Here is a 20,966-nt window from a genome sequence, read left to right on the forward strand (position 1 = left end):
CTGAGGATACCTATAGCAAAACATCACTGGGTGCCCCGTAAGTAGATACAATCATGATTTGTCAGTTAAATGTAGAAACATTTTTTTAAAAAGATAAACAGAGAAAAAGAAAGAGCTCTGAGACCCGGGCTCGCTCAGCGGTTTTTTCTCGCAGAGAAGAGGAAGGAGCCCGGGGGTCCCTGGGACCAGGTGCCTCATGAGGCTCCGTGTGGGCCGTGGACCCTGCAGGCCACGCCGGCTTCCCTGACTGATAAACCCAGAGCCAGGCCTTGCCGGTGAGAGGCCAGGGACTGCTGGCTGAGCTTCTCCAGCGCTGCTCTTCACTCCCCTGGATGCCTGGAGCGAGACTATTTGCCTGGTTTATTTTTTTCAGCTTAGAGCTCGTTGCACGGAGTCAGAACCCCTGCATCCCGGTGGCTCAGGCATTTGAGTGAAGGTCGGATCAGGAGGGAGGGGAGATGCAGCTGCCCCACGCATGGAGGAGAAGAGCTGTGAGCTGCAGCAGCCTCGTGTCTTTTTCCTCTCAACTTTCAGTTCAGAAAAATTTCAGACCTACAGAAAACTTGGGAGAGTCTCACAGTGAACAAACCTCAGCTGTGGCCATAAACAAAGTGCCCATTCGTGTGTGTGTGTGTGCGTGTGTACAAAAACACACAGACATAGACACAGACATGTACACACATCACACAGACACATCACACAGACACAAAACACATCACATAGACACATACACAGACACACACATATATATACACATATACCCACACATACATCACATAAACACACACACATATCACACAGACATGCATACACTCAGAGACATACATCACACAGGCACAGAGACACACATCACACACAAACACACACATATATGCACATATACACACATCACATAAACACAGACACACACACACATTTTGCTGGTGAGAGCCGGCTCTGCCATCGTGTCAGTTCATCCCGGATTGCTGACATGGTGTCTCCTGAGTGGAGCTGCCCTCTGCATAACCACAGGCGAGTCTGCATCGCGGCCACACTGCCCTCTGGATGCCCACACATGGGGCTTTCTCCACGTGCCCCGTCATGTCCTTCCTGTATTTGTTAAAATCCAGGTCCAGTGAAGGACGGCGCCCCCGTCAGCTGTCCACCCTTCTCAGTCGTCTCTAATCCACCCAGTTGTTGGTTTTTGTTTTGCTTTCTGTCTTTTGTGAGATTGAGATTTGCGAAGGGTTGAAGCCAGTTGCTTTATGGAATATCCTTTCATCTGGTTTCCTTGTAATTAGGTTCCACGTGGTCCTTTGGGGCGGGAATCCTGGTGGGTGAGCTTCTGGGGCAGCCCGTGGAGGCCCAGGATGTCCATGTGTCCCGTGATTGGGGCGGTGTTGTGTGCTCAGACGGCCAAGGAGGCGTCCGGATTTCCCCAGGAGAAGGTGCCTCTCCTCTTGGTAATCAGTGGGTCATGTGTGGTGATGCTCAGGACGGGGCGAAGGTCCCGTGGCTGAGGTGTCCACTGACCGTTTCTGCCTGAATGGGTGGTTCGGTGGTGGTTGCCACAGGGCTGTGTTTTCAAGGGGAGCAGCAGGTGCCTGGCGTCTGCATCCACACCTGCCTGGAGCCTCCTTCCATTTGTTACTCTGTCTCCTCCTGTGTCCCTGCAGCTGTGTCTCCAGTGATCTTGCCTGTACTCTCCGCCTCTGCAGAGTGAGGTTTTCACTGATTGCAAAGTAAACATGCACGCCCCTTCAGGGTCCTGGTCCTTAGGGAGCTGGTTAACAAGTTGACCAGAAAAACAACCCGAATACTCCTCAACTCTTGATGGGAGCTCAGTTCACACGGCTCCGAATCGGCGAAACGCAACCAACGCTGGGCAGAACCTTGGCACAACTTTGCTGGTGTCTGCTGAGAAGCCGAGGGGAGGTTCTGGGGCTTGGCTTGAGCTGCGGGGTGAGTGTGGGAGAGACGGCGAGCTCCCTCCCATCAATCAATCAACAGACTGTCCTATTTTCATAGTAGTCCCCACCCAAATGTCATTCGAGTCCAATCTCAGGATCCTGGATGCACGCCTGTTCTCCAGGTCTGCTTCCCGTGAAATTCGTGGAGATTATTGTACATTCGGGAGTGGGAGTGCGATTGGATGTGTGTCTGCAGATTCTCCCTGTATTTTCTCCCAGGCTTTCTAGAGGACCATTTGCTAGAGGACCAGTCCCCAAACGGCCGCGCTTTTAGGATTGGTTTTAGGAGTGATGGCCTCACGCACACGGCAGCGGCCATTCTGAGCACTCGTGTCTGAACATCTGCAGGAACAGGGTCCACGCCCATTGTTTTCCTCACCCGGTCCAGCGTCTCTGATTCCGGCTCTAACGTCTTCTTCATCTGTTAACACAGAGACACAAACAAACTTTCAAATGCATATTTTTTATATAAACTTGTGTTTACTGTTTGGCTACTGTCAGACAAATGTAGTTGGTGAGGTTTCAGTTGCTCTGAAATTAAATATATAATGTCAAGCTGGATAGGTGTGGCTTGGAGCAGACCTTAAGGAAGGTGATTTGAACTTGGGGAGGGTTTTTCAAACAGGGTTCCCCAAAGTACCCAGTTCTACAAAGTTCCCAGCATGTCCTGTTGCTTTAGCTGCATTGGTAAATACATGCAGCGATTGTTTTCTGAGTCTCTAAGAATATTAACTCAGAAACCAGTGAACTCTTTTTCTATCTCCAGACTACAGTGCTGTGGTCATCACACATATCTGTTCCTAAGTTCATCCAGGTCAGCCCAGAAAATGAGCAATATTGTTTTCATGTTAGATAGAAACCTATAGGATTACTTTACTGTTGAGTAATTTACAAAAAGACTTGACAGCCTCCATCCCAAATTCTTCATCCAGTTACCATTTATACTTACCCCCATCTTTTAAAATAAAGTTTTTATTTTAGAACTTTCCCCAGCTTTTAATACAAACGGTCAACTCCAATTCAGAGAAAATTTTATTTGCTGTTATATTTATTCAAAGTATGTGTTTGTGTACATCGTTAGCACCTTCTCACTCAGCTAGGATCTTCCAATTTATTCTATTTAATATAATGATCCAATAACTTAAAATACGAAACCCTAAAACTGAGCCAAGGAAGAGGGGGTCATGTTTGATGCTGGCAGAGCCTCAGGGACCAGCCTTGCTGCAGGGGTATGCTTCACTCCCAGAGGCTTTAGGGGCAAATAGTTGCACCTGCTGGAGACGTGGACCCCCCCCCCCGCCACACACACACACACACACACACACACACACACACACACACACACACACACACACACACACACCTGGCTTCATCTCTGAGCTTCAGGCTCTCAGCTTGTCCTTAAAGATCCAGGTGATAAAAACGACAGTGAAACGTAGAAGAGCGTGATTCATCGCACCATCAGAAAAAGACTGGTTTTCCGTAAATAGTGGTGTCCAATTTCACAGCAGTGTGAGGGATTTTCAGTCCGCCCCTTGCTGAGACACAGAATCTGCCCTGGGGCGTCCCACTCTTTGGGGCTTGCTTCTCGAAGGAGGACTGCCCAGGCGCCTCGTCCACCAGGATCACACTCCTGGCAGATGCTCAGCTCACGATTCCCTGCTTGTAATTCAGCCTGTCCGTCACAGCATCTTACCCACACGTGCTCCCTGCAGAAGGTGAATGGCTGTGGCCTTAGTCTATGTCCAGGCGTCGTGTGAGATGGTGGGGCAGAGAGGGCGCAGATGCAGGGCCCCTCCAGAGCACTTCCCTGGGGGCCGAGGCTGGAGAGAATGGGTGTGGAGAGCAGCGGAGACAGGAGAGTCCCCCGGAAGCCATCAGCCTCCCCTCCCTCATCCACTCCGCAGCAGACACCCGCAGAGGACCTGCCAAGTGTGCCGGCCACTGAGGGCCGTGGTCCCTGCCCTCCCCACGCAATGCAGATGAAGCAGAGGTCTCCATGGGAGGGGTCCTGTGGGAAAGGTGTGCAGTGTCCACCCAGTGACAGGACATTGTCCACCTGCCCTGGACGGGGAGGGCAGCCGCCCAGTGACCGAGCCCTTAGTTTATGCACAAGGGGCAGGGGCACATCTCTGGTTTTAATTCCTACAAGGCAGGTGACCTGGTCCATGTTTGGGTGCTGAGTGTTTGGGTGCTGTGTGTTTGGGTGCTGAGTGTTTGGGTGCTGTGTGTTTGGGTGCTGAGTGTTTCGGTGCTGTGTGGGTGTGGAGTGTTTGGGTGCTGAGTGTTTAGGTGCTGTGTGTTTGGGTGCTGAGTGTTTTGGCACTGAGTGGGTGCTGTGTGTTTGGGTGCTGAGTGTTTCGGCGCTGAGTGGGTGCTGTGTGTTTGGGTGCTGAGTGTTTGGGTGCTGAGTGTTTCGGCGCTGAGTGGGTGCTGAGTGGGTGCTGTGTGTTTGGGTGCTGAGTGGGCACTGAGTGGGCGCTGAGTGTTTGCGTGCTGTGTGTTTGGGTGCTGAGTGTTTTGGCGCTGAGTGAGTGCTGAGTGTTTGGGTGCTGTGTGTTTGGGTGCTGAGTGGTTGGGTGCTGTGTGGGTGCGGAGTGTTTGGGTGCTGAGTGTTTAGGTGCTGTGTGTTTGGGTGCTGAGTGGGTGCTGAGTGTTTCGGCGCTGAGTGGGTGCTGTGTGTTTGGGTGCTGAGTGTTTTGGCACTGAGTGTTTGGGTGCTGTGTGTTTGGGTGCTGAGTGTTTAGGTGCTGTGTGTTTGGGTGCTGAGTGTTTCGGCGCTGAGTGGGTGCTGAGTGGGTGCTGTGTGTTTGGGTGCTGAGTGGGTGCTGAGTGTTTCGGCGCTGAGTGGGTGCTGAGTGGGTGCTGTGTGTTTGGGTGCTGAGTGTTTGGGTGCTGAGTGTTTCGGCGCTGAGTGGGTGCTGTGTGTTTGGGTGCTGAGTGGGCACTGAGTGGGCGCTGAGTGTTTGGGTGCTGTGTGTTTGGGTGCTGAGTGTTTTGGTGCTGAGTGTTTGGGTGCTGTGTGTTTGGGTGCTGAGTGCTTGGGTGCTGTGTGTTTGGGTGCTGAGTGGGTGCTGAATGTTTGGGTGCTGAGTAGGTGCTGTGTGTTTTGGTGCTGAGTGTTTAGGTGCTGTGTGTTTGGGTACTGAGTGGGTGCTGTGTTTAGGTGCTGTGTGTTTGGGTGCTGAGTGGGTGCTGTGTTTGGGTGCTGTGGGTGCTGAATGGGTGCTGTTTTGGCACTGAGTGGGTGCTGAGTGGGTGCTGTGTGGGCGCTGAGTGTTTGGGGGCTGTTTGGGCACTGAGTGTTTGGGTGCTGAGTGTTTAGGTGCTGTGTGTTTGGGTGCTGAGTGTTGGGCACTGAGTGGGTGCTGAGTGTTTTGGCACTGGGTGCTGAGTGTTGGGTGCTGAGTGGGCGCTGAGTGTTTGGGTGCTGAGTGTTTGGGTGCTGAGTGTTTAGTAGCTGCGTGTTTGCTGTGTGTTTGGGTGCTGTGTGTTTGAGTGGTGTGTGTTTGGGTGCTGTGTGTTTGAGTGCTGTGTGTTTGGGTGCTGAGTGTTTGGGTGCTGAGTGTTTAGGTGCTGTGTGTTTGGGTGCTGAGTGTTGGGTGCTGAGTGTTTGGGTGCTGAGTGTTTTGGCACTGTTTGGGTGCTGAGTGTTGGGTGCTGAGTGGGCACTGAGTGTTTGGGTGCTGAGTGTTTAGTAGCTGCGTGTTTGCTGTGTGTTTGGGTGCTGAGTGTTTGGGCACTGTGTGGGCGCTGAGTGTTTGGGCGCTGTGTGTTTGGGCACTGAGTGTTTGGATGCTGAGTGTTTGGGTGCTGAGTGGGTGCTGTGTGTTTGGGTGCTGAGTGTTGGGTGCTGAGTGTTTGGGTGCTGAGTGTTTTGGCACTGTTTGGGTGCTGAGTGTTGGGTGCTGAGTGTTTGGGCTCTGAGTGTTTGGACACTGAATGGGTGCTGAGTGTTTAGGTGCTGAGTGTTTGGGTGCTGAGTGTTTCGGTGCTGTTTGGGTGCTGAGTGTTTGGGCGCTGAGTGTTTGGGTGCTGAGTGTTTAGGTGCTGAGTGGGCGCTGTGTGTTTGGGCGCTGAGTGTTTAGGCACTGAGTGGGCACTATGTGGGCATTGAGTTTTTGGGCGCTGTGTGTTTGGGCGCTGAGTGTTTGGGTGCTGAGTGTGTGGGCGCTGAGTGGGCATTGAGTGGGTGCTGAGTGTTTGGGCACTGAGTGGGCGTTGAGTGTTCGGGCACTTTGTGTTTGGGTGCTGAGTGGGTGCTGTGTGTTTGGTCACTGAGTGGGCGCTAAGTGGGTGCTGAGTGTTTTGGTGCTGAGTATTTGGGTGCTGAGTGGGTGCTGTGTGTTTGAGTGCTGTGTGTTTGGGTGCTGAGTGGGTGCTGAGTGCTTAGGTGCTGTGTGTTTGGGTGCTGAGTGGTGGGAGCTGAGTGTTTGGATGCTGAGTGTTTTGGCGCTGTGTGGGTGCTGAGTGTTTAGTAGCTGTGTGTTTGCTGTGTGGTTGCTGAGTGTTTGGGTGCTGAGTGTTTAGTTGCTGTGTGTTTGCTGTGTGTTTGGGTGCTGAGTGTTTGGGCACTGAGTGGGCGCTGTGTGTTTGGGCGCTGAGTGGGCACTGAATGGGCGCTGTTTGGGCACTGAGTGGGTGCTGTGTGGGCGCTGAGTGGGCGCTGTGTGTTTGGGGGCTGAGTATTTGGGGGCTGAGTGGACACTGTGTATTTGGGCACTGAGTGGGCGCTGTGTGTTTGGGCGCTGAGTGTTTGGGTGCTGAGTGTTTGGGTGATGTGTGGGCGCTGTGTATTTGGGCGCTGAGTGGGCGCTGAGTGTTTAGGTGCTGAGTGTTTGGGTGCTGAGTGTTTCGGCACTGTTTGGGTGCTGAGTGTTTCAGCGCTGTTTGGGTGCTGAGTGTTTCAGTGCCATTTGGGTGCTGAGTGGGTGCTGAGTGTTTGGGTGCTGAGGACAGACTTGTCAAGGTCTTGCTACTAGGATTCCACAACTGTGGAAAAGGCATTGTATAATCCTAAGTGAGGTCCCAGCCACTTATGTTGCAATCCCAGAGCTGGGTTGGAACTTGGGGTGCGCGATCTAGAATTCCCGCCTGAGATCATGTTGTCAGCAGTAGAGATGAGCCCAGGTGTCCCTGCAGCCAGCGTGGCTGGAGGGCCCAGACTTGGCCCACGCCCCACGCGTCCCCTGACTTCAGACCCTACCCCAGCTTCCTAACCTCAGGGCCCTCTTCTTATGGTCCTCGCTAGGCCAGCCTGAACATTGGAGTGTGGCTGGGGCAGTGCCCAGGCAGGACATCCTGGTGAGTCGGTCACTCCTCCTCTAGTCCTTGCTGCTATATTCCTTTCGGGCTTTAGGGCAATGCCATTCTTTTCTATATGTCATATTTTAGGTGCATTTAACTTAGTTATCCAGAAATCAAACTCAGTTGCTTCAGTTTCTTTTTTTGGTGATGGGGTCTCCCTGGATTTCAGCATCTGGACATAACTTGGTGTCGAGAGCAACCATCACTGCACGTCTGTCATCGCGGCTTTTGAGCGCTTCCTTGGTGCAGGTGTCCACTGAACGCCACGCACGCCTTGGTCCATTTCATCTTCGAAAGGGTGTCATGAGTAGGCACTGCCGGTCTCCCCACTTTCCCAATGGAGAAGCTGAGACACAGAGAAGGGGAGTGACCTACCCAAGTTCCCACGCCTTGTAAGAGGCAGAGCCAGTTTCCAAATAAATTCATGTAACTGTGTCCAAGGCCGTGTGTGCACACCAGGGCACAAGATTATTTTTATTTTTGTAGGTAACACACACATGTGTCTATGTTGCTTTTATAAAATTTGACAAGTGTCTTGGTTTCCTGGGGCCATGGTAACAAAGTAACTACAGACTGACCACTGGGCGCACAGAAGCTGTTCCCTCCCAGCCCCGGAGGCGGAGTCTGAACTCAGGTGTGGCCGGAGGGGGCTCCTTCCAAGGCTATGGGGAGCGTCTCTCTGCTCGAGGCCTCTCCTCAGCTTCTGGTCTGGCTGCCTCCTGGGTCTCCCTGGGTGTGGAAGCACCGCCCCGGCCTCCACCAGCAAATTCTCTGGGAGCTCTCCACGCGGTGCTGGGATCAGGGCCTGCCCTAATGACCTCACTTTAGCTTGGTTACCTCTGTAAAGACCGCGTCACCAGCCAAGGTCACGTTCGGAGGCACTGGGAGTTAGGCTTCGACATCATAATTTGGGGGGACACAGCTCAGCCCCTAACAACTGTCGTAAGCTTTGGACTTTTACATTTGTAAGCAGCATAACGTTCTGCCAAGACATGAGGCTTTTCCTCTTTTCTTTTAGAAAAGAGATGCCTTTCACAGAGGCCAGCATCTCTACCATGTTTATCTCAGCATAAACCTGCTGCGTTGAGGATGCCTGGCCGCTAGCTGCGCGCCCCCGGTCAGCCCAGCGTGCAGGCACCGCACTAGGGGGGCTGCTGTCTGCAGAGCACGCTGCAGGCCCTTGTCTCTCGCCCTCTCTCACAGGCATCTTTCCCGGCAAACCTGCAGCTCGTCCTCGTGCTTCGCCCGACGGGTTTTTTCCAAAGGACTCTCTCCGACATCGCTTTCAAATTCAATAGAGATGACTTTAAGATGAAGGTGCCGGTAAGTGCGCCCCGCCTCCATCCTGCGGTAGCAGAACGGAACTCATTGCCGTCCTGGCCCATCTGTGATCATCGAAATCCTCGAGGAGCTGACTTCAGGGCCACACGGTCAACAAAACCCCGCAGGACCTGGCGGGAAGTTGCACCTCCTCAATGCTGCCAGAAGCAGTACAATCCTTTCTTCCCCCACCCCCGCCCCCAGCCCCCACCCCGCCAGAGGTGCACAGAGCATCAACCTCAGAGAGGCCACCGTGTGGGCATCCCATCAGGACGCGGGTCACGCGACATTCATACCCCCAGGAGAACTACAGAACTTGAGACCCTAAGGGCTGAGAGTCCGCCTGGCCCACCCGCGAGGAACTCAGCCCAGGCCCTGCCTGCACCCCAGGGATGAGAGAAGGGCTGGGGAGGGGGCTGTAAGCATCTCTGGACCTGGGAGGGAGCACCCACTGCTGACAGGGATGGGCCGGACCTGTCCTGGAGCAGCCAACAGGGTGACCCCTGCCCCATCGCCACCACACTATCCCGGCACAGGGCAGCATCTCCCAACACTGCCCACTGAGAAAGCACCTTCAGTCCTGATCTGCTGTCCTTTAAAGAACAAAGGCTTCACAAAGTCCCTTAGAGCCTGTGGAGCCCGGTCACCAGCCCGAGCTGTGTAGCTCCCCCGGAGAGCCCTGGTCAGCTGCCTTGGCGAGCTCACATCTTCTCTGCCACAAAGAGAACAGAGACATATGGGCCAGCACCAGGCACCGCAGAGCACCCCATGGCACCAGCCAGATGCTACTGGAAACCAGGCAATCTGGGGTGCAGGTCGCTCACTGTGAAGCTACTCCCTGTGCGCTGGGAATCAGGTGGCACCAGCCCTCCCTCCCCACCCTCGTTGCGCTACAGCCTCAATGCCAAAGGTGCAAGAGCCCTTCTCTGACAGGGAAGAAAACGGCCTGGGGCCTTTCCCCATGTACTGCCCCCTTCCCCTCCCCTCCCCTCCCCCTTGCCCTCCCCTCCCCCTTGCCCTCCCCTCCCTCTTCCCTTTCCCCTCCCTTCCCTCTCCCCCTTCCCCTCCCCTCCCTCTCCCCCTTCCCCTCCCTTCCCTCTCCCCCTTCCCCTCTTTTCTCTCCCCTCCCCCTCCCTCCTCCTCCCCTCCCCTCTTTTCCCCCTCCCCCTCCTCCTCCCCTTCCTCCTCCTCTCCCCCTACCCAAGACAGCCCTGGGGGTCACAAGGCCCCATCCACTCTGCCCACCCCCACGCAGTCCACTCTGGGTGTCACCCGTGACCCTGGTGCCTGGCCTGGGGCAGTAACTGCAGGTGCAGGGTGTTCTGCATGGCACCCATGGGGCTCTGTGCCATCGTGCTTTGGTGGCCCCAGAACCACCAGCTTCCAAGCCATTGGGAAACTCTGTGCATGTACCGTTTTTTGTAGCCTTGGAGAAGCCTTAGTGTCTGAACAGTCCATTCCCTAGAGACGACCAGCGACAAAACCGTGCAGAGCAGGGACTCGTGGGCAGTGGGAGGCTCATGTCCTGACACCAGGATGAGCTAGGCATTGCGTGTGCAGCTCAGAGCTCCTCTGACAGCTCCTCTCGTGATGGCGTGTGCAGCTCAGCACCCTGCAGACAGCACCTCTCGTGGTGGCTTGTGCAGCTCAGCGCCCCGCAGACAGCTACTCTCTTGGTGGCTTGTGTGTGTTATGGCCCTTATGATGGAGATAACTCCGTGCGCCCTCCTTCCCTGCTATTTGGCAGGCACTGCACACTAGCCATAGGCTTTGTGACCACAGACGTGTCACGGGGAGCAAGACCGACCTCACGGGTCATCCATGCCACAGGCTCCCCTGCACAACGGCTCCACAGCAAGCCGTCAAAATGGGTTTCACAGAAATCACCGGCATCTTCAAACTCACAGCCCCACTTAGATAATTCTTGAAATTAGAGTGGATGATGTGAAGGATGCAGTTGTTGACACGTGTGTGTCCGTGTTTCAGTGCCGTGTGCTGGACTCAGCCATAGAAAGGAGACATGAGGGAGAACAGTGGCCCCGGCACCTCTGCTGCCGTGACTGACTGTCCAAACCCATGGATGGAGTGACCTCAAAAAGGGCAAGAGAAATGCAGAAAAATGAAGACAAGGCGTGTGTAGAGGAGCTTATGCGGCCGTCGCAACCACAGGTTTTCCACATAACCATAACCGTGTGGGAACTGCCAGCCACTCTCCCCGTCCGGCCTCAGTGGTGGTGTGTTGATTTCAACTGGTGTCTACAATGACCGCGGGGTATTTTCGGCAGGAACAGGGACAAAAATGATCATCTCTCCCATCAGAGCACTGTTTGATGATGTTGCTGGAGGAGGTGTAAACGCCTGTTGCATGTCCTTGGCCATCACAGGCCGCACTCGTGTGGAGTTTTGTGCACCTCCAACAGCACCATTTGCTGCTCACCGTGGCATGATGAGCTCAGGCACAACGTGCCCATTTACGAAGGAGGCAGCTGAGACACAGAGTGGGCGGCTGGCCTGCGGGCGAGTGGGACCCACATCTGGGTCCACACAGGTCCGAAGCCAGGCGCCCCTGTCCACACAGCCACCCACAATGTCCAGGCGCCCCCATCCGCTCAGCTGCCTACAGTGTCCAGACACCCCTGCCTGCACAGCCGCCCACAGCGTTCAGGCGTCCCTGTCCACACAGCTGCCCACGGTGTCCAGACACCCCTGTCCACACAGCCGCCCACAGCGTTCAGGCGTCCCTGTCCACACAGCCGCCCACAGCGTTCAGGCGTCCCTGTCCACACAGCTGCCCACAGCGTTCAGGCGCCCCTGTCCACACAGCCACCCACGGTGTCCAGGGTTTGGATAAAATCTAGGCTTGGCTTTGCAAGCAGTCAGACGGGACCACAAAATGGGTCTCCTGAGGTTTAGCTCAGGGGTTATTTGACACCACATCATGTTTTATTAAATACCGTATCAGTCTAGAGTGGGGACTCCACTGGGGGTGATTTTGCCAGATAGTCACGGCAGCAGAGGTGCCGGGGCCACTGTTCTCCCTCATGTCTCCTTTCTACGGCTGAGTTCAGCACACGGCACTGAAACACGGACACACACGTGTCAACAACTGCATCCTTCACATCATCCACTCTAATTTCAAGAATTATCTAAGTGGGGCTGTGAGTTTGAAGATGCCGGTGATTTCTGTGAAACCCATTTTGACGGCTTGCTGTGGAGCCGTTGTGCAGGGGAGCCTGTGGCATGGATGACCCGTGAGGTCGGTCTTGCTCCCCGTGACACGTCTGTGGTCACAAAGCCTATGGCTAGTGTGCAGTGCCTGCCAAATAGCAGGGAAGGAGGGCGCACGGAGTTATCTCCATCATAAGGGCCATAACACACACACGCCACCACGAGAGGAGGTGTCGGCGGGGCGCTGAGCTGCATCCCATCCGCACATCCATCCGCAGTGTCCAGGTGCCCCCACCCACACAGCCGCCCGCAGCATCCAGGCAGACGTGGTCCTCTCTGTGCTGCTGGGTGTTCTGCTGATGGGGCAGCTCTTTTGGGAGCCAACAATAATCCCAAACACTACCACGCATTCCCTTTCTCCTCCAGGTCATAATGCTGAGCTCCGTACCAGACTTACACGGTTACATCGATAAGTCGCAGCTGACCGAGGACCTGGGTGGGACCCTGGACTACTGCCACTCCCGGTGGCTGTGCCAGCGCACGGTGAGCCGCGTCGGGGCCAGCGGGGCTGGCTGATACCAGCTCGAGTACTTCCACAGAATCGCTCTTGCATTACAACACGGCCCTTTCCAAAAACACATTCACATTAACAGTCGTTTTCTTTCCCAAGAATGAGGAGATGGTCTCAGTGGACCTTAGTCATTGTAAAGAAGTAACGTGAGTCATAAGTTTGGGAGTGGCTTTCTCTGGGCTTGGAGACCAAAAAAAAAAAAAAAACCCTTGCGTTGTGGTTTGCAACACTCACTGCTCTCAACGGGGAGAGGCAGCGCAGGCACAGGCGACTCTAGGTGACGGGCACACGTGTAGAGTGTGCCTGGTATGTTTCTGAAGAGGTCAAGGAGGGCAGGACGCTATGGGAGGGCGTTCACCGTCTTTGCGTCAGCCGGTCTCACCTGATGGGTCTGTGTGGGAACGGTTTCCGCCGGTGTCTGCTTTCAGGGCAGCAGGAGGTGGGTGCAGTGCACAAGGCATGCAATTGTGTTTTCTCTGTCCCCAAGGCCATCGAAAGTTTCGCCCTCATGGTGAAGCAGACGGCTCAGATGCTGCAGTCCTTCGGGACCGAGCTGGCTGAAACAGAGCTGCCCAATGACGTCCAGTCGACAAGCTCAGTGCTGTGTGCGCACACAGAGAAGAAGGACAAGGCGAAGGTACATGGGGGGTGCTCCGGCTGGAAGCTGTGGGGGGCTCCGGTCAGTCAGAAGCTGCGCGGGGCTCCGGTCGGAAGCTGCGGGGGGTCTTTCGTCCCAGCGGGAGTTTGTGTCAGCAGCACGTAAGACCAAGAAGTCAGCAGGCTTGAGATGCCTTTTGATGGCAATTAGCTCGGCAACCTCTCCGACGAGAACGGAATAAAAGGAGTGTAAATGAACCCTGTAGATTGCTGGCTGCGCCTGCCATTCTGGCGTTGGGTCAACCATTGGCCCTGGGTGGCCGTGGCTTCAGGAGTGGGACCAGGGGTGGCTCCTCTCAGGAGCACTTTTGGCTGTCTGTGCGGGGAGCTCCCGAATAGACATCTCTTGCTTCTGAGTGTGACCGAGACAGGATGTCTGTGCCGGTTTCTCATGCCGAGCAGGCGATGAAGTGGCGGTTGGAATTCCTGTTTGCAGAACACTCCCAGTGCTCACGTGTCCACAGCGCTTGCTGGAACAAACGTATTCTGAGGAGCACGTGCTCCCTGCTCTGTGCTGCCCCTGGCCCACCGGCACGCTGCTGGCTTTGCAGCAATGGTAGCCCAGGGCCATGACCTGCTGGTGTGTCCCCGAGGACTGTGCCTCTGTGCTCACCGGGCCGCTCCACCGTGAGGACACTGAGGACCAGGAGCAGGCACCATGAGAAAGCCTGGTCTCCAGTGACTCTTTCACCTTAACCCGTTGCCCTGAGTGCCCTGTAATGGCAGCTCTGCCCCGGGGCACACAGGAGTGAGGGAGGCCCCCACATCACCCCGCCTGCCCGCACGACCCCACAGAAGAGACTGGGAAGACTCGGGGGTCGGGGATTGACCCCTTCCTCAGTCCCCGCCCCCTCAAGAGCAAGGCCCCACGAGGCCTCACCACCAGCCTGCGCTGTGTGCCTGGACGGGGCCGGGACATGAGGCTGCATTCTCTCCACAGGAGGATTTGAGGCTGGCACTGAAAGAGGGGCACAGTGTCCTGGAGAGCCTCAGGGAGCTGCAGGCTGAGGGCTCAGAGCCCAGTGTGAACCAGGACCAGCTTGACAACCAGGCCACCGTGCAGAGGTGAGGCCCGGCTGCCTTCCTGCCCTCATCCTGTCCCAGTCCATGGCAGGATCCTCTCAGGCACACAGCTTCTGCAAAAGAAACAGGCCACGGAAATAGCAAGCAGCGTGGCAGGCAACCCCACTCCTGGCCAGGGCCAGCACAGCAGCCGGCCTCCGAGCCTCTGTGTGGGCCTGGCTCCTCCTGCTGAAATGCTTTTCTCTCGAACCCCACAGAAAGCCACTGTTTTGGGGACAATTTCCTAGAGCAAACGCCCTTTTGCCGGCATGAAGGAGGCGTTAGGGGAAGCAGAGGCGATGGGAGTGCCTTAGACCTGGGGCTTCTGCATTCCAAGCGGGGCTTCCACAGACAGGGAGAAAGCCTGGGGTTCTCCTTGCTGCAGATAGTGTTTCTTACTTTCATTGTGAAAGGTGTGATTCTCATATTTCTCCCTTGGGCTTCCAGCTTTATAGCAGCACAGGGTAGGGCACTCGTGTGGTTGGCATGGTGCTCTAGGATGTCCAGAACTCCCTGAGCATCCCCCTCACCCCCCGAGAACTCCCCGAGCCTCCCCCCGTCCCATCCTCCCCAAGACTCCCCAAGCCTCCCATGTCCCATCTCGCTGGTGGGTGCTATCAGCCCTGCCTCCGAGCTGAGGAGCAGGGCCCGCACAGCTGGACAGCGGCTTGTCCGGCAGGGCCGTGCGGGGCGCACCCAGGCCTGGACCAAGCTGGTCCTTTTGACTCTCAGCTGCCTTTGACTCCCACGCAGCGTGGCCCACACCCTGAGCTGCCTTCTCTGCCAGGGACATGCCAAGGGCCCCGGGGACTCGACGGCGCATCCTTGAGGGGCTCCTCGTAGATGGGGTGCCGTGACCCACGAGGCAGAGGCTGCAGCACAGCCCATGAGGGTGGGCCCTGCCCTGGCCTGTGTCAGGCACCTTGTCAGCTTCCCAAAGACTCAGTTTCCTCATCTGTAAAGTGACGCTGATCCGTGCACACGCCTGGCAGGGTGGGCGTGGGGCTGACTGGGTGGTGCACAGCTGGAGTCCCAGCTACGCGGAGGCAGAGGTCGCAGTGAGCCGAGATTGCACCTGGGTGGTGCACAGCTGGAGTCCCAGCTACGCGGAGGCAGAGGTCGCAGTGAGCCGAGATTGCACCTGGGTGGTGCACAGCTGGAGTGCCAGCTACTCGGAGGCAGAGGTCGCAGTGAGCCGAGATTGCACCTGGGTGGCGCACAGCTGGAGTGCCAGCTACTCGGAGGCAGAGGTCGCAGTGAGCCGAGATTGCACCTGGGTGGCGCACAGCTGGAGTCCCAGCTACGCGGAGGCAGAGGTCGCAGTGAGCCGAGATTGCACCTGGGTGGTGCACAGCTGGAGTGCCAGCTACTCGGAGGCAGAGGTCGCAGTGAGCCGAGATTGCACCTGGGTGGTGCACAGCTGGAGTGCCAGCTACGCGGAGGCAGAGGTCGCAGTGAGCCGAGATTGCACCTGGGTGGTGCACAGCTGGAGTCCCAGCTACGCGGAGGCAGAGGTCGCAGTGAGCCGAGATTGCACCTGGGTGGTGCACAGCTGGAGTCCCAGCTACGCGGAGGCAGAGGTCGCAGTGAGCCGAGATTGCACCTGGGTGGTGCACAGCTGGAGTCCCAGCTACGCGGAGGCAGAGGTCGCAGTGAGCCGAGATTGCACCTGGGTGGTGCACAGCTGGAGTCCCAGCTACGCGGAGGCAGAGGTCGCAGTGAGCCGAGATTGCACCTGGGTGGTGCACAGCTGGAGTGCCAGCTACTCGGAGGCAGAGGTCGCAGTGAGCCGAGATTGCACCTGGGTGGTGCACAGCTGGAGTGCCAGCTACTCGGAGGCAGAGGTCGCAGTGAGCCGAGATTGCACCTGGGTGGTGCACAGCTGGAGTCCCAGCTACTCGGAGGCAGAGGTCGCAGTGAGCCGAGATTGCACCTGGGTGGTGCACAGCTGGAGTCCCAGCTACGCGGAGGCAGAGGTCGCAGTGAGCCGAGATTGCACCTGGGTGGTGCACAGCTGGAGTGCCAGCTACTTGGAGGCAGAGGTCGCAGTGAGCCGAGATTGCACCTGGGTGGTGCACAGCTGGAGTCCCAGCTACGCGGAGGCAGAGGTCGCAGTGAGCCGAGATTGCACCTGGGTGGTGCAACGCTGGAGTGCCAGCTACTCGGAGGCAGAGGTCGCAGTGAGCCGAGATTGCACCTGGGTGGTGCACAGCTGGAGTGCCAGCTACTCGGAGGCAGAGGTCGCAGTGAGCCGAGATTGCACCTGGGTGGTGCACAGCTGGAGTGCCAGCTACTCGGAGGCAGAGGTCGCAGTGAGCCGAGATTGCACCTGGGTGGTGCACAGCTGGAGTCCCAGCTACTCGGAGGCAGAGGTCGCAGTGAGCCGAGATTGCACCTGGGTGGTGCACAGCTGGAGTCCCAGCTACGCGGAGGCAGAGGTCGCAGTGAGCCGAGATTGCACCTGGGTGGTGCACAGCTGGAGTGCCAGCTACTTGGAGGCAGAGGTCGCAGTGAGCCGAGATTGCACCTGGGTGGTGCACAGCTGGAGTCCCAGCTACGCGGAGGCAGAGGTCGCAGTGAGCCGAGATTGCACCTGGGTGGTGCAACGCTGGAGTGCCAGCTACTCGGAGGCAGAGGTCGCAGTGAGCCGAGATTGCACCTGGGTGGTGCACAGCTGGAGTGCCAGCTACTCGGAGGCAGAGGTCGCAGTGAGCCGAGATTGCACCTGGGTGGTGCACAGCTGGAGTCCCAGCTACGCGGAGGCAGAGGTCGCAGTGAGCCGAGATTGCACCTGGGTGGTGCACAGCTGGAGTCCCAGCTACGCGGAGGCAGAGGTCGCAGTGAGCCGAGATTGCACCTGGGTGGTGCACAGCTGGAGTGCCAGCTACTCGGAGGCAGAGGTCGCAGTGAGCCGAGATTGCACCTGGGTGGTGCACAGCTGGAGTGCCAGCTACGCGGAGGCAGAGGTCGCAGTGAGCCGAGATTGCACCTGGGTGGTGCACAGCTGGAGTCCCAGCTACGCGGAGGCAGAGGTCGCAGTGAGCCGAGATTGCACCTGGGTGGTGCACAGCTGGAGTGCCAGCTACTCGGAGGCAGAGGTCGCAGTGAGCCGAGATTGCACCTGGGTGGTGCACAGCTGGAGTCCCAGCTACGCAGAGGCAGAGGTCGCAGTGAGCCGAGATTGCACCTGGGTGGTGCACAGCTGGAGTGCCAGCTACGCGGAGGCAGAGGTCGCAGTGAGCCGAGATTGCACCTGGGTGGTGCACAGCTGGAGTCCCAGCTACTCGGAGGCAGAGGTCGCAGTGAGCCGAGATTGCACCTGGGTGGTGCACAGCTGGAGTCCCAGCTACGCGGAGGCAGAGGTCGCAGTGAGCCGAGATTGCACCTGGGTGGTGCACAGCTGGAGTCCCAGCTACGTGGAGGCAGAGGTCGCAGTGAGCCGAGATTGCACCTGGGTGGTGCACAGCTGGAGTCCCAGCTACGCGGAGGCAGAGGTTGCAGTGAGCCGAGACTGCACCACTGCACCCAGCCCAGGTGATGGAACCAGACCCTATCTCAAAAAATAAATTTTAAAAAAAGTTTTTAAACTTTTAAAAAATAAAAATGAACAAACTCGGCGGCTCAGCCTAGTCGCAGTGACCTAGAGGGAGAGAAGCAGGAAGGAAAGGACACAGCCCCTGATGCTTTCTCCAGGGCCTCCCTCCCATGCTGACGGCCCTGAGTGCCCGCGCCCGCAGATCCCAGGTTTAGGTGCAGGGAGTGAGCGGAGGCCAGGATCTCAGGAAGGCCCGGGGTGGAGATGAGCCTTGGGGTCGCTTGAACACCCACCGCGCTCCACGTTGCATGGGGCGCCGTGGGCCACACAGACGGTCAACTCCTCCTCTTTCCCAGGCTCCTGGCCCAGCTGAACGAAACCGAGGCTGCCTTCGATGAGTTCTGGGCAAAGCATCAGCAGAAACTGGAGCAGTGTCTGCAGCTCCGGCACTTTGAGCAGGGCTTCCGGGAGGTGAGTGGCCCTGGGTGGAGCCGGCAGCCGCCCTGATGCTCACGGGGCCTCCTGTGCCTGCGCCCTGGTCCCAGTGCCGGGAGCTGAGCCGTGCCACCCAGTTGACTTTGGCTTAATGCAGAAAAGTCTCCGCTTGCCAGGTGGAGCCTGTGAGATTAAGTCAGGCTGAGCCTTGAAATGCACGATTGATGACTGCGTCATTGTATAGAAAGGTGATTGAAAATCAGCTCACTGGGATGCACTTACACTGCATTATTCGTAAAGTAGCAGGAAGCCTTTGCTCTCCCTTCATAGTCATTTGCATGCCCTTTTATTCAACATGCATGTAGGATGTGCCTGCTGTGTGCCAGACTGTAGGACGGCGTCACAGTCATGAGGTGCACAGCGACACGGCCAGTGCAGCCAGACCCAGACGTCTCCCTCCTGCGGCCCTTCGTGGACTCACCCATGTCCCTCCTCAGCCCCCGGCAACCACTCATCTGTTTCCGTGGCTGTGCTTTTGCCATTTCAAGAATGTGACATTAATGAATCCCACAGAATGTCACTCTCGGGATTTGTTTGTTTGCTCAGCACAGCTCTCTGCAGACCCCCAGGTGCCGGTGGCTCACTCATTGTGTTCCCCGGTGTGGACGGACCACAGTTCTTTCAATCATTCACCTGTTGAAGGGTATCTGGGTTGTTTCCGGATTTGAGTATTACAGATAAAGCTGTTACAAACATTGATATACTGATGTTGGTGTAAATGTAAGTTTTCATTTCTTGGGCTTAAGTGCCCAGAATGTAATTGCAGGGTTATATAGTAGTTGCATGTTTCGTTTAAGAAAATGCCAAACGGTTCTCAGTGTATGAGAGACTAGTTGCTTCCCCTTTCCCCAGCACGTGGTGGGGTAGTGATTCTTCATATTATGCTCACATCCTGATGTGTGTGCCATCTCACGGTGGTTTTCTGTTGCGTTTCCCCAGTGTTGATGGTGCTAAACACCTTTCCACGTGCTTATTTGCCATTCGCATATCCTCTTTGGTAAAATGTCTTATTTCTGTTGCCCATTTTCTAACTGGATTGTTTGGTTTTGTGCTTTTGTTTTACGGTTTTGTTACATTTTGAGAATTCCTTATATACTGCAGATACTAGTTCTTTGCCACATATGTGGTTTGCGAATATTTTCTCCTGGTCTGTAACTTGTCTTTTCATCCTCTTTAACAGGGTTTTTCACGTAGCCAAAGCATTTAATTTTGACGAACTCCAATTTGTCAATTTCTCCTTTTAAGGTTTATACTTTTGGTCCTAGATTCCAAGTATATTCCCCTAAGCCTTTTTCCCCTCAAATTTCATAGTTTTACATTGAAGTCTATGACCTAATTTGAGCTAATTTTTGTATAAGGTATGAGAATTAGATCATGATTTGTTTTACCTCTGGATGTCCAATTGCTGTAGCACTGTTTGTTGAAAAGGCCCTTTCTTCCACTGGATTTCTTCTCCACCGTTGTCAAAGCTCTGGGCACATTTGTGTGGGTCTGTTCTGGAGACTCTCTATTCAATTATGTTTATCTACATACCTCTTCCTCTGTCTGTACCACAAGGTCTTAATTGCTGCAACTATATAATGTCTTGAAATCAAGTACACTCATTCTTCCCTCTTTGTTTTCTTTTTCAAAATTGTGTTAGCTTCTAGTTCTTTTGCCTTTTCATGGCAATTTTAAAATTATCTTGTCTACATATATGAAAACAAATTTCCTGGGGTTTTCATAGGAGTTGTGTTAAACCTATATTTTAAGGAGAAGAAATGTCTTTACTGTGTTGACTCTTCTAGTCAACAAACATGGTATTCCCAACATTTGATTTCTTTCATCAGTGTCGAGTAGTTCTCAGCACACAAGTTCAGTACGTATTTTGTTTGACTTACCTTTAATATTCCACTTTAAGAAGTCATCACAGTATTATATTTTTAATTTTGGCATTTATGTATTCATTGCTGCACATAGAAACACAATTGATTTTTGTATATTTATCTTGTCTCCTGCGACCTTGCTGAGCACACGTATTTGAGATGGTTTTTTGTGAAGTCCTTGACATTTTCCATATAGACCATCATGTCATGTGCAAATAAGGACAGTTTGGTTTCTTCCTTTTTGAAGATATGCCTTTTATTCTACCCCCCACCCACAACACCCTGCCCCACTGCGTACTGCCCCAACTAGAGCTTCCACCATATGATAAGAGTGGCGAGACTGGACATCTCTGCTTTGTCCCCAACCTTAGGAGGAAAGTGTTTAGTTTTTCACTGTCAGGTGTAATGTTAGTTGTAGGATTCTTGTAGATGCTCAATAAAACTATCTGGGCCTAGAGATTTCTTTGGGAGACTTTTAAAATTATGAATTCAGTGTCCTTAATAGTTACGCAACTATTGAAACTATCTGTTTCACAATGAGATATAGTAGTGTGCTTTTCAAGGCAATGTGTAGGGTTGTTTATAGTATTCTTTCTTATCTTTTTGACGTCTGCAGGGTCTGTAGTGATATTCCCTGTTTCATTTCTGATATTTGTAATTTGCATCTTTTCCTTTTTTCTTTGTCAATCTAGATTGAGATGTATCACTCCTCATCTTTCCAAAGAACTCGTTCTTTGTTTCATTAGTTTTCTCTGTTGTTTTCTGTTCTCAGTTTCATTGATTTCTGATCCTACCTTTATTATTTCTACAAATTGCTTTGGTGGGAACTTACATTCTTTATTTGAGACTGTTCCTCTTTTCTAACATACATATTTAATAAGAACACTATAAATTTCCCTCTCATCACTGATTTAGCTGTGTTCCACAAATTTTGATGTATTGTATTTTCTTTTTCATTTACTCCAGCTTTTTTTTTTTTTTTTTCCAATTTCCCTTGGAACTTCCTCTTTGACCCATCCATTCTTTAAATGTATGTT

The 20,966-nt window shown here is 54.6% G+C and overlaps 1 protein-coding gene across 28 annotated transcripts in view; it reads left to right on the forward strand.

Moving 5' to 3' along the window:
• The window catches only part of MCF2L (MCF.2 cell line derived transforming sequence like), a 205,408-nt gene that overhangs the window by 157,799 nt on the left and 26,643 nt on the right, over window positions 1–20,966 (forward strand). For all 28 annotated transcript variants that reach the window (NM_001438391.1, NM_001438392.1, NM_001438393.1 and 25 more), the window contains 5 exons: window positions 8,460–8,579; window positions 12,171–12,287; window positions 12,803–12,952; window positions 13,913–14,037; window positions 17,926–18,040. In NM_001438391.1, coding sequence (NP_001425320.1) covers window positions 8,460–8,579; window positions 12,171–12,287; window positions 12,803–12,952; window positions 13,913–14,037; window positions 17,926–18,040 — 627 coding nt within the window. The remainder of the gene's footprint in view (window positions 1–8,459; window positions 8,580–12,170; window positions 12,288–12,802; window positions 12,953–13,912; window positions 14,038–17,925; window positions 18,041–20,966) is intronic.

The sequence above is a fragment of the Homo sapiens genome, chromosome 13 (assembly GCF_000001405.40).
Source record: "Homo sapiens chromosome 13, GRCh38.p14 Primary Assembly".
In the NCBI taxonomy this organism is placed as follows: domain Eukaryota; kingdom Metazoa; phylum Chordata; class Mammalia; order Primates; family Hominidae; genus Homo; species Homo sapiens.